The 12,714-nt window shown below is 39.5% G+C and overlaps 1 long non-coding RNA gene across 1 annotated transcript in view, besides 2 other annotated features; it reads left to right on the top strand.

The window, feature by feature from the left end:
- The window catches only part of LINC00970 (long intergenic non-protein coding RNA 970), a 183,101-nt gene that overhangs the window by 37,293 nt on the left and 133,094 nt on the right, over positions 1-12,714 (top strand). The window lies entirely within an intron of this gene.
- Positions 4,413-4,542: an enhancer, noted in NCBI's record as "active region_2068". NCBI's record gives its function as "activates an Ori minimal core promoter by ATAC-STARR-seq in GM12878 lymphoblastoid cells {active_cell/tissue: GM12878}" and the evidence as "EXISTENCE:reporter gene assay evidence [ECO:0000049][PMID:35858748]".
- Positions 5,095-5,354: an enhancer, noted in NCBI's record as "active region_2067". NCBI's record gives its function as "activates an Ori minimal core promoter by ATAC-STARR-seq in GM12878 lymphoblastoid cells {active_cell/tissue: GM12878}" and the evidence as "EXISTENCE:reporter gene assay evidence [ECO:0000049][PMID:35858748]".

Genomic DNA, 12,714 nt, shown 5'->3' with positions numbered 1-12,714 from the left:
TGACCCTGGCATACAAGTGTGTGCCCAGCCACTCAGTGGGGAGGCATACCCATAACCTGCTCAGTGGAAGAGGTCAGGCTTCAGCAGAACTCGGTTTGCTGCTTTCTTCCAAGCTGACAAAACTTTTCCAAATTTGGAAAGCAACTTAATGGATTTGGCTAATGAAGTGTTGCATAAACCAGATGATTAAAAACAAAAGCATAACAAAGCTCTTTCATCTCAGGAACAGAAAGCCACTTGACATTTGTTTCTCCCCCATTAATCACCCTGCTTTCTCATAGATTTCTTTGTGATGGTGGGTGGGGGATGATGGAGGTGTTGAGGTCACACTCCGGTGGCTGCATGGCTGCCGACAGCCATTCACTGCACTCTGCCTTACTAACTGAACCCTGATTTGGCTCACGTATCAGTGGCCACACTCTTCAGGGATAGGCACCTCTAGGAGGTGGAAGAATCTGGATTGGATAAGCCAATTACAAAAATTCTATTCCTGCTGCTTGTAATTTTGTGCTATGATTCCATCCAGTGAGATATGAAGGGAAATCTGCTAGGGTGGCAGAACCTACTGGAAAAGTTCTTCTCGTTTTTTAAAAAGGATTCAAGGTAGGACTGCTCCCTCTCTTTCTGCCCCCCTTATCATTGTGTGTGTATATAATGCTTGACTGTCTGGATACTACAAAAACAAATATCAACAAGCTGAGAATGGCAGAGAGAGAAAATGGGAAGAATCTTCGTCCTTGATGACATTTTTGAGCTTCTCATTTAAGCAACCTTGGAGCTTCTTTACTTTGGAAGCTCTTATTGTGAGAGAGAATAATTTGTCCTTGTTGCTCAGGGCCACTTCTAGTTGGGTTTGCTGCTACAAGAGCATGCTAACAGCTGAGCGAAGCTGCCTCTTTCGCTCCCATCTGCCTCTCCCTTCTTAGAGAGCATTTGGGAGAGGTTATTGTAAAGGCAAGGGCACCATCGGAGTGCAGGTCTCTTACCAGAACTTTCCAAACCAATCTACAATGTAGGGCAGAGGAGAGGGAAAGTAAATCCCCTGTAGAATTGGTTGGGGCAAAGCCTAAAGCTGCCAGTCAAAAAGCTGAAATTTATTTGACTTCCTACGTTCTTAAACTTTGAAATTCGCGTGAAATTTTCATTCTAGTTTTTAAAATGTCTTGTTCTTAATGTAAAACTCCTCTTTTATCTACTTAACAGTTCAATTATTTGGCGCTTCCTACCATGTACATTTTCAATTTAAAGTGAGGCTACGCCAACCCCTGGCAAGGCTTGTGCCCCACATGATACCAACCAGCCAAGTACCTGCTTCCAGAAGCAATCTGTGGACAGAGCTTGCAAAGGTCCATGAGATCACTGTTGCAAACCGGGGAGAGGTCAAGGCAAGAGGAAGTATCTTGGGTAGATTGTAGCAACTTTCCCCTCCCACAAATCCTCTGTCTGGAAAGTCCAGGCAGTGAGTGATGACAGAAGCCAGGCACAGACCACATTCCTGCCACAGGTAAGGTCTGTATGGGTGAATTTCCAGACTGCACAGGTGGCCCTTGTAGGATGGCTGAGAGGCCAAGTGACTTGCTGCAGGCCGTCGTTCAGTGCCAGAGATGGCATCTCACTTCCATTATGCTTCACAAACTCTGGCAGGCTGCAGTTTCAGTTAGATGTAAAAGGAAAATTACTGACATTATTTTGAATGTTTTTCCTGTGTTGCCCCCACCCACCTAGGCTATTTTTTGGTGAAATCTGAATTCTCCTTTTGTTAAGGCTCCCTGGACTATAAGCTCAGGGAAGCCAGAGACTTTGCCTATCCTGTTTCTTGCAGAATCCCTAGTACCTAGAACCATGTTTGGCACATAGTATGTGCTTCATAAATATTTTTTGAATGATGGACTTTGAATATATTGAATTAAGGATACTTTGAAGGCTATCCTAGAATAAGAGAGAAGAAAGTACTTTGAGGGCAACTATAGTCTAAAACAAGTTCAGACAACAGGGATGGAAAGGAACAAATGAAGACAGGGCCCTGGACACCCAGGAGTGGATCTCAGAAGGCATCCAAGGAATGAAATGCTGGAGGAGGCAGTGGTGGGGACCTAAGTGTGGCCAACTGCAAGAGGCATTGCTCTAGTTCTCAGGAGCCCCGAGTGAGACCACAGCTCATCTCTACCTGTGCCAGAACCTCCGTGGGTCTGGGTCCAGGGTCTGAGCCGCATGATGCTCTTATGGACCCTGGAGAAAACTGTGCTCCATCCCCTTAGTGCCTCACCCAAGTCCTTACCAGGAAGACTGAATCTGATGACGAGATTTTCCTCAGTCCCTGTTCAACAATCTCTTCCTGTTTAATCACCCAGCAAAGTTTCAGGACACCTGTCAACTCAAAGTGGGGTGGTTTCCACATCCTGAAGGAGAGGCTGTGGGGAATCCCCTGAATTATTCCTGGTGGGAGGAGAAGTAGGAGGTGGTGCCAAACTTCACAAACTTGAGATAGCTAAGCTGGCACAGTGGTGGTGGAAGAGACCCTTGTTAGACTGTTCAAGGCCTTCTCTGCTAAGCATTTGGGGAGAGCCCAGTAAGTGGCTGAGTGGGGCCAGGCATCCCAGCCTCCCTGCTACCTGGCTGTCTGGCAGTCCTTTACTTCTCGTGCTCTCTTCTCATCAACAACAACCTGGCATTTGTCTTTCCAGACTCAAGAATTTTTGAATTATTGGGTTCTACTCCACCTGCTCCCTTAGGTACCCTGCCTCTCAAATTGGTATTTCCAAGGGAGGGAAAAGTTAAGCCAAAGGTTTCCCAGCTGCTTATCTCAGCTGAAATGATCTCAGTAGTGTGCACAGCGGTTGGGCACAAGGGCTCTGGAGTCAGCTCGCCTGTGTTCCACTCCTTGTTATGTCTTTACTAAACTGTCTAATCCTGGATAATGCATGTAATATTGGTAGACTCTAGAATTCTCCATAAAAGGAGGTTAATGATAAACCCCTGGTATCATTCTGAGGATTAAAATAGATAATGTACGTAAGGCATATAACACTGGGCTTGCCACAGAGCAAGTGTTCAATAAATGTCAACGATCATTGTTTTTGCCTCCCCTTTTTATGCTTCCTTTTTACCTTTGCCTACATTGCTAAGTGCTTTCACCTTGTTTCATGGTGAGTGTGTTTGTGGAGAGTGAAGATAGGAATGATAGGGCACAGAGGCATTTTTTTGTCTTATTTTTCAACTCACCTGATACATAAAAAAAATTGATGCTACTTATTGAGGACTGGGCATCACACATACTATGGTGTTTTTAAAGCATGTCCACAAATTTTCGGCACTATTTCAAATAAAAGGAGCGGTCTAATTCTGCTCTCCTAGAATACAGTCTGGTGGTAGTGATTTGCTTCTAATAAATAGAAGGCAATGGAAGTGATGTCACTGTGTGACTTTCCAGCCAGGCCAGAAAAGAGGATATGGTTTCACCTGTTTCTCTCTCAAGTGAGATACATGCCTTTGGAGCCCTGAGCTACCTCATAAGAAATCTGGAGACCTTGAAGGGACCATGCAGAAGGACCATGTGGTGGGTCCCAAAGGGATAGAGGGAGGTGCCTGGGGAGCCACAGCTGCTCCAGCCCCTGCTCCAGCTATTTGTCTTCCCAGCATGGGAACAAGACCTGTGAATGAAGAAGCCTTGAAATTGACCCCAGCTCTAGCCACTGACCAGTCTGCCTCAATCACCTGGGAGACCCCGATTCAGACTAGCTCAGCTCAGCTGCTCTCAAATTCCTGGCCTACAAAACCCACAAGAGCTAATAAACAGCATTGCTCTTGCAAGGCACTAAGTTTTGGGCTGATTTGTTATGTATTGCTAGATAACAAATAAACGCATGATATCAACTAATAACTCTGTGTGGCAGGTATTGTTATCTTAGTTTCACAAATGAAGAAACTAAGGTTTAGAGAACTTGAGAAGCATACATACAATACCGCTAGGGAGACACAGAGCTGGGACACAAACTTGTGTCCACGAGACTCCAGAGCTTGTCAAGGATCCTCTGCACCAGGAGGCTGCCTCACTGGATGCTGGAGGAGGTTGAAACAAATAGGTAAAATTGTGTTTTTCTGTATCTGCCCTACTAGCCTCTCATGATTCTAAGATTAAACACACGATCACATTGTGTTTGGAAGATCACCACCTGTTCAAAACACTCTAGGCTCATAGTTAACTGGCAGAACCAGCCCCTGAAGTGAATTTACTAAAAGGCTCTGTGTCCTGCGTCTCCTTAGGAACAGTGCTGGGTTTCAAAGTAGGCATCAGGGCAGGGCTGCTAGTTAAAGGGGGTGGTCAGCAGGCCCAGAGGGCCCAGGTTGCCCTGGGGAAGCCTGGAGAAGGCTGTGAAGTTCCAAGCTTAAGGCAGGCAAGGGAAGGCCATATGGTGTGTGGTGAAAAATGGCGGAGGAAAACAGAACAAACAAGGCTGAGGAGTGGGAGCACAGCTGAGAAGGAAGTGAGAAGAGCACGATGTAACGGAAGCTCTGGAGAGCAATGAGAGAAATCTTCACAGACTGGATGGCTGAATGCTCCCCAGAGACACAGAAGGGCTCTGCTGCTGCTGCCAAGGGGAAGCAATTGGTTTGATATTAGACCCAAGGGGATTTACATGCCAAGGTCCACTTTAGAATTTCTATCCTAACCTCTGAACCCATGTACTTCTAAAACGTATATGTAAATGTTTCTGAGAAGACAGGGTCCATTCATTCAGGTTAATGTCTATCAAGCATCTATTATGTGCTGGGTGACCAGTGACAATGGGACATATAGAATATAAATTAAACACATTTTCTGCCCAAGAGGAACAGGGTCTGGAGGGAAATGATAATTTTTGGACACCTATTGTGTGCCAGGTCCTATCTGGGGTGATTTACTTAAATTTTCTCATTTAATCTTGACACCTATTCTACAAAATAGGCATTACCTTTATAAGAAGCTGAGCTTAGAGAAATTAAATAACATGCTTAAAGTTATATACAGCAAGCAAGTGTGTGTGTTTTAACCCAGGTTAATCTAATTCTAAAACCCATAATTGTTCCGCTGTCAACCCTGCCTCTCAGGCTTATGGGTTCGCATTTCTGGGTGCAGATTTCATGGAACTGTGTACAGAGGGCTTTAAGTCAGCAGAGAGGAAGTGGTTAGTCCTGCCTTGAAGAAGGTGCAGGAGGGGACGTGGTTTCACAGAAGTTATTAGATCAGGGCAGTGTAGGGAGAGGAGGAGTTTAGTAGTTAGAGAAGGACACTGTAGACAGAGGGAGTTGCAAGTCAGAGGGAACAGTGTGCCAGGCATGGAATGGAGGAAGACATAGTTGGAAAGACAGGCCAGGGCTAGACTGTGAGAAACTGTTTCTTTTCAAAGGAATATGGGCAAAGGGAAGCACTGAGGTTTTTAAGCAGGAAAGTGACTTGATCAGATGTGCCTTTTAGAAAGGTCATCCTGATAGCTCTTGGCAGTATTGTTAGGAGCAGAAAGAGCCTGGCCATTTTCACTTAGATGTTGCACTGACCTCTGAATCTCAAAAATCTCACAGTGAAATGCATGATCTGTCTTCTTCCTGCTTGCAAACTCTTATCTACTCCTGGGTACCCAACTTGGTAAGCACCTCACCATCCACCCAACTGACCAGGCCAGGGGCCTTGGCTTGTACAGAGGTGGGTGTGCACAGATGCTGACAAAGCTTAAGCATCAGGGCCCCTCACTCACATGAGCACTCTCCAGGCCCTGCACTGAATTTTGTGTTTGCAGCTTTGTAGTCAAGAGCTGTGCTAATCTCTTAGTTGTGCCATTTTTTCTCTTAAACTCTTTCTAATTTGGCTTTCAGCCACTATCTGCCACCTGGATCCCTGTAGTGGGTTTTGCTTAGGTTAGCCTGCTTCTCTACTTGCCACTGGAAATTTTATTCTCAAAGTAATTCTTCTAAAACATAAGTCAGGTCATGTTATTCCTCTGCTTAAAACCCTGTCATAGTTTTCACTGAGAGTAAAAGTCAAAGCCCTTACATTGCGCACTAGGGCCGTGCATCTCCTGACTGCTGTTTCCTTTTTGAGTTTTTGCCCACCACTCTTCCTTACACTTTGTGCTGCTCTAGCCACACTGGCCTGGAGCCACTCCTCAACACTCAGGCCCGCTCCCATTGTAGGGTCTTGGCTTTAACCTTTCCCTCTTTCAGGAGGCCCCTCCCACAGATATTTTCTCACCTCCCACAAGTCTGTGCTCAAGTCTTGCCTTCTTAATGAGACCTATTCTGACTACTATTCTTTTTTCTTTCCAACTTGTATTTTAGGTTCAGGGGGTACATGTGCATGTTTGTTACGTGGGTAAATTGTACGTCACAGGGGTTTTGTGTACAGATAATTTTGTCAACCAGGCAATCAGCATAGTACCTGATAGGTAGTTTTTCAATCCTCTCCCTCCTCCTACCCTCCACCCACAAGTAGGCCCCAGGGTCTATTGTTTCCTTCTTTGTGTCCATATGTACTCAATGTTTAGCTCCCATTTATAAATGAGAACATGTGGTATTTGGTTTTCTGTTCTTGTGTTAATTTGCTTAGGGTAATGGCCTCTAGCTGCATCCATGTTGCTGCCAAGGATATGATTTCATTCTTTTTTTGTGGCTATATAGTATTCCATGGTGTATATGTACCACATTTTTTTTTTATCCAGTCCATCATTGATGGGCACCTAGATTGATTCCATTTCTTTGCTATTGTGAATAGTGCTGCAGTTAACATACATGTGCTTGTCTGACCACTATTTTTAACACTGCAACCTGCCCCTTCCCCTCTCCCCTGCAGCCCTGGTTTACCATATTTTCAGAGATAGAAATCATACACTTTTATGTAACCTATGTATTAGCTAATGCTCTGTATCTATATATATTGACTTCCCAATTATTGATAACAATATTGACTCTTCAGAGAATTTTAAAGCTCAGAAATCCTTTTCATATCTATTCTCTCATAGGAATTATTGCCTTCCTGTTATACATAATAAAACTAAGCTCAGAGTTAAGTGAATTGTCTATTAATAACTACCAAATTTTGGCACCTACTCTGTGCCAGACACTATAAATATATCATGGCCAATGCTTACAATAGACCCATGAAGTGGATATTGTTTTCTGTGTCTTGCAGTTGAGAAAGCTCAGTGTTTGACACTTATGTGATGGTCTAAGTTCCCATTGCCTGTCACATCCAGGACTGCTTGATTCCAGAGCCTGTTCTTTTTCCATTGTTGTTCCTGTTCATTTCATTTCTTCATGCTGCCTCCCAGATGTGGGCTCAGCAAGGGGAGATACCTTGACTTAGATTTCTTCTTATGCATTTTTGAGCTAGTTTTTAAAATTTTCCATTTTAAATTTTTATTGATGCCTAATAGATGAACATGGTTTCAGGGTACATGTGATAATTTAATACATTCATGGAATTTGTAAAGATCAAATCAGTGTACTTGGAATATCTATCACCTTATCTGTTTGCCTTTTCTTTATGCTAGAATGATTCAAATTCTTCTCTTCTTGCTATTTTCAAATACACAACAGCTTATTGCAAACTATAGTCACCCACTGATTTATTTAACACTAGGTCTTATTTCTTCTATCAAACTGTATATATTTATACCTACTACTCAACTTCTTTTCATCCTCTCTCCCCCGCTCCACTCTTTCCTGCCTCTGCAGCTACCAATCTACTATCTTCACGAGATCCAGTTTTTAGCTTACACATGTGACTGAGAACACATGATTTTTCGTCTTTCTGTGCTTCGCTTATTTCACTTAATATGATGACCTCCATATCCATCCATGTTGCTGCAACAACATGACAGGATATTTTTTTATGGCTGAATAACATTCCATTGCTTACATATGCCACATTTTATTTATCCATTCATCCATTGGTGGGCACTTACATTGATTCCATATTTTGACTATTGTGAATAGTGTTGCAATAAACATGAGAGTGCAGGGGTTGTTCTGATATATTGATTTCCTTTCTTTTGGATATATACTGAGAAGTGAAATTGCTGGATCACATGGTAATTCTATTTTCGGTTTTTTGAGGAACCTCCATACTTCTTCATAGTGGCTGTACTAATTTACGTTTCCACCAACAGCGTAGGAAGGTTCCCCTTTCTCTGCATCCTCACCAGCATGTGTTATTGCCTGTCTTTTGATAAAAGCCATTTTTGCTGGGGTGAGATGACGTCTCATTGTTGTTTTGATCTGCATTTCTCTGAAGATTAGTGATGTTGATCCTTTTTTCATATACCTGTTGGCCATTTGTATGTCTTCTTTTGAGAAATGTCTATTCAGATTTTTGCCCGTTTTAAAATTGGACTCTTTTTTTTTTTTTGCTGTTGAGTTGTTTGAGCTCCTTATATATTCTGATTATTAAACTTTTGTCAGATGGGTAGTTTGTAAATGTTTTCACCCATTCTGTGAGTTGTCTCTTCACTTTGCTAATTGTTTCCTTTGCTGTGCAGAAGCATTTTAGCTTGATGTAATCCCATTTGTCAATTTTTGCTTTGGTTGCTTGAGCTTTTGAGGTCTTCCACAAAAAGTCTTTGCCCAGACCAATGTCCTGGAATGTTTTCCCAATGTTTTCTTCTAGTAGTTTTATAATTTCAGGTCGTGGATTTAAGTCTAATATATTTTTATTTGATATTTGTTTAAGGTGAGAGATAGGGGGTCTAGTTTCATTTTTCTGCATACAGTTATCTAGTTTTCCCAGAAACATTTATTGAAGAGACTGTCTTTTCCTCATAGTGTGTTCTTGACACTTTTGCTGAAATGGAGTTGGCTGTAAATGTGTAGATTTATGTCTGGGTTCTCTATTCTGTTCCACTGGCCTGTCTGTTTTTATGCCAGTACCACCCTGATTTGGTTACTATAGCTTTATAGTACATTTTGAAGTCAAGTAGTGTGATGCCTCCAGCTTTATTCTTTTTGTTCAGAATTGCTTTGGCTATTTGGGGTCTTCTGTGGTGGTTTCATATAAATGTTAAGATTTCTTTTTCTATTTCTGTAAAGAATGTCATTGATATTTTGATAGAGGTTGCATTGAATCTGTAAATTGCTTTGGGTAGTATTGTCATTTTAACAGTATTAATTTTTCTAATCCATGGACGTGGAAAGATATTCCATTTTTTGTGTCCTCGTCAATTTGTTTCATCAGTGTTTTACAGTTTTTCTTGTATAGTGCTTTCATTTCTTTGGTTAAATTGATTCCTTGGTATTTTACATTCTTTAAGCTATTACAAATGGGATTGTTTTCTTGATTTCTTTTTCAGACTGTTTAATATTGGTGTATATACATGCCACTGATTTTTTTATGTTGATTTTTCATTCTGTAACTTTACTGAATTTCTTTATCTGTTCTAACAAGTTTTTTTTTTTTTTTGGTGGAGTCTTTAGGTTTTTCTAAGGATAAGATCATCTCATCTGTAAATGAGGCTAATTTGATTTCTTACTTTCCTATTTGGTTACCCTTTATTTCCTTCTCTTGGCTGTTTGCTCCAGCCATAACTTTTAGTACTATATTGAATAAAACTGATGAAAGTGGTCATCTTTTTCTTGTTCCAGAAGTTAGAGGAAAACTCTCATGTTTTCCCCATTCAGTAAGTAAGTTAGCTATGGGTTTGTTGTAAGCCACATTTATTATTTTGAGGTTTGTTCCTTCTATATCCAGTTTGATGAGGGTCTTTATCATAAAAGAATGTTAAATTTTATCAAATGCTTTTTTAGCATCTATGGGAATAATCATGTAGTTTTTGTTCTTGGTTCTGTTAGTGTGATATATTATGTTTATTTGTTTGTATATGCTGAACCATTCTTGCATCCCTGGGAAGAATCCCACTTGATTGTGGTCAATGATTTTTTTAAAGTGTTGCTCAATTTGGTTTGCTAGTATTTTGTTGAAAAGTTTTGCATCTATATTCATCAGTAATATTGACCTGTAGTTTTTCTTTTTTTTGTTGTGTCCTTGTCTGGTTTTTGTATCAGTGTAATGCTGACCTCATAGAATGATATCAGAAGTATTCTTTCCTCTTCTGCCTTTTTGAAGAGTTGGAGTAGAATTGATATTAGTTCTCCTTTACATGTTTGGCAGAATTCAGCAGTAAAGCCATCAGTTTCTGGGCTTTTCTTTGATAGGAACCTTTTCCCTATGGCTTTGATCTCATTAATTATTATTCATTTGTTGTGGTTTTCTATTTATCCCTATTTCAATCTTGGTAGGTTGTATGTGTCCAGGAATTTATCTATTTCTTCTATGTTTGTTAATTTGTTGGTGCAGCATTGTTCATAATAGTCTGTAATGATTCTTTGTATTTCTGTGATCTCAGTTGTTATGTCTCCTTTTTCATTTCTGATGTTTTTTATTTGAGCCTTCTTTTTTTTTTGTGTGTGTAGCCAAAGGTTTGTCCATTTTGCTTTTCTTTTCAAAAAACCAATTTTTTGTTTTGTTTATTTTCTATATTTTTTTGGTCTCAATTTCATTTATTTCTGCTGTGATCTTGATCACTTCTTTCCTTATACTAATTTTGGATTTGGTTTGTTCCTGCTTTTCTAGTTCCTTGAGGTTGTCTATTTATTGTCTTCGTACCTTTTTGATAAAAGCATTTATTGCCATAAACTCCTCTCTCAGTACTGTTTTGCTGTATCTCATAGATTTTGTTATGTTATATTTCTGTTTTCATTTAAGAATTAAAAAAAATTCTTCTTAATTCCTTCATTGACCCATTGGTCATTCAAGAGCATGTTGGTAAATTTCCATGTGTTTATGAAGTTTCTAAGGTTCTTCTTGTTATTGATTTTTTTGTTTTATTCCATTGTGGTCAGAAAAGATACTTGATATGATTTCTACTTTTTAAAAAATTTGTTCAGACTTGTTTTGTGGCCTAAGATATGGTCTATTCTGGAGAATGTTCCATGTGCTAATGAAAAGAATGTGTATTCTTCAACAGTTGAGTTAAATGATCTATAAATGTCGGTTAGGCTGATTAGATCTAGTGTGTAGTTTAAATCGAGTGTTTGTTGATTTTCTGTCTGGATGATATGGCCATTACTGAGAGTGGGCTGTCAAAGTCATCTACTATTATGGTCTTGCAATCTATTTCTCCCTTTAAATTTATCAATGCTTGCTTTATATACTTGGGAGTTCTGGTGCTAGGTGCACAGATATTTTAATTGTTTTATCCACTTGCTGAATTGATCCCTTTATCATTATACAATGACCTTCTTTGACTCTTTTTACAGTTTTTGATTTGTAGTATATTTTATCTGATGTAAGTATTCCTACTCCTGCTTTATTTTTTTGGTTTCCAATTGCATATAATATTTTCCACCCTTTCACTTTTAGTCTATGTGTGCCTTTATGAGTGAAATGGATCTCTTGTAGGGCAGCATATAGTTAGGTCTTGTTTCTTCATCCATTCAGCCATTCTGTGCCTTTTAATTGGAGAATTGAGTCCATTTACATTCAGTGTCATTATTGATAAGTAAGGACTTACTACTGCCATTTTGTTTCTTGTTTTCTGATTGTCTTGTAAGTCCTCTCTTCCTTTCTTACTGTCTTCCTTTGTGGTTAAATGATTTTCTCTGGTAGCATGTTTTAATTCATTGCTTTTTATTTTTAGTGAATCTATTATAGGTTTTTGCGTTGTGATTACCATGAGGTTTACATAAACATGTTATAGATATAACAAGTTATTTTAAAGACGTATCAACTTATTAGATCACAAATACAAGAATAGAAACAAACAAAGGCAAGACAAGCACACAAAAATTCTACACTTTAACTCCATCCTCCCATATTTTGACTTTTGGTTGTCTCAATTTACATATTTTTATATTACTTATTTGTTAATGAGTTGTAGCAATTATTGTTCTGGTAGATTTGTCTTTTGGGCTTAACACTAGAGTTATGAGTGGATTGTACACCATAATTACAGTAACAGAGTATTATGAGTTTGTCCATGTACTTAATTTTACCTGTGGGTTTTATAGCTTGAAAAGTGAAGAACTCCTTTTAGCATTTCTTTTACTATGAGTCTGGTGGTAGTGAATTTTCTTAGCTTTTATTTGTCTGGGAAAGACTTTCTCTCCTTTCATATTTGAAGGATAACTTTGCTGAGTACAGTATTATCGTAAAGCAGTTCTTTTATTTCAGCATTTTGAAAATGTTGTTTCACTCCCTACTAGCCTGTATGGTTTCTGGTGAGAAGTCTGTTGCTGGAAAAACTGGAGCTCCTTGTATGTAACTTGCTTCTTTTTTCTTGCTGCTTTTAGAATCCTCTTTGTCTTTGACCTTTGAGAGTTTAATTATTATATGCCTTGGGGTAGTCTTATTTGGTTTGAATCTGTATTCTCAGACCTTCTTGTGCCTGGATATTTGTATCTTTCTAAAGTTTGGGGGAAGTTTTTTGTTATTCTTTTTTTAAATAAATGTTCTAGTCCTTGCTCTTGCTTAGTTCCTTCTTGAACACCAATAATTCTTAGATTTGATTTTTTGAGGAGATTTTCTATATCTTATAGGTAGTCTTCATTCTTTTTTCTTTTTTCTCCTCTGATTGTGTATTTTCAAATAGGTGGTCTTTAAGTTTACTGATTTTTTCCTCTGCTTGGTCTGCTTTTCTGTTGAGAGCCTCTAATGAGTTCTTTATTTCTATAAATGTATTTCTCAGTTCC

The sequence above is a fragment of the Homo sapiens genome, chromosome 1 (genome assembly GCF_000001405.40).
Source record: "Homo sapiens chromosome 1, GRCh38.p14 Primary Assembly".
NCBI classification, from domain to species: Eukaryota; Metazoa; Chordata; class Mammalia; order Primates; family Hominidae; genus Homo; species Homo sapiens.
The sequence above is the reverse complement of the archived record's forward strand: the minus strand, read 5'-3'. Positions and strand labels throughout refer to the sequence as shown.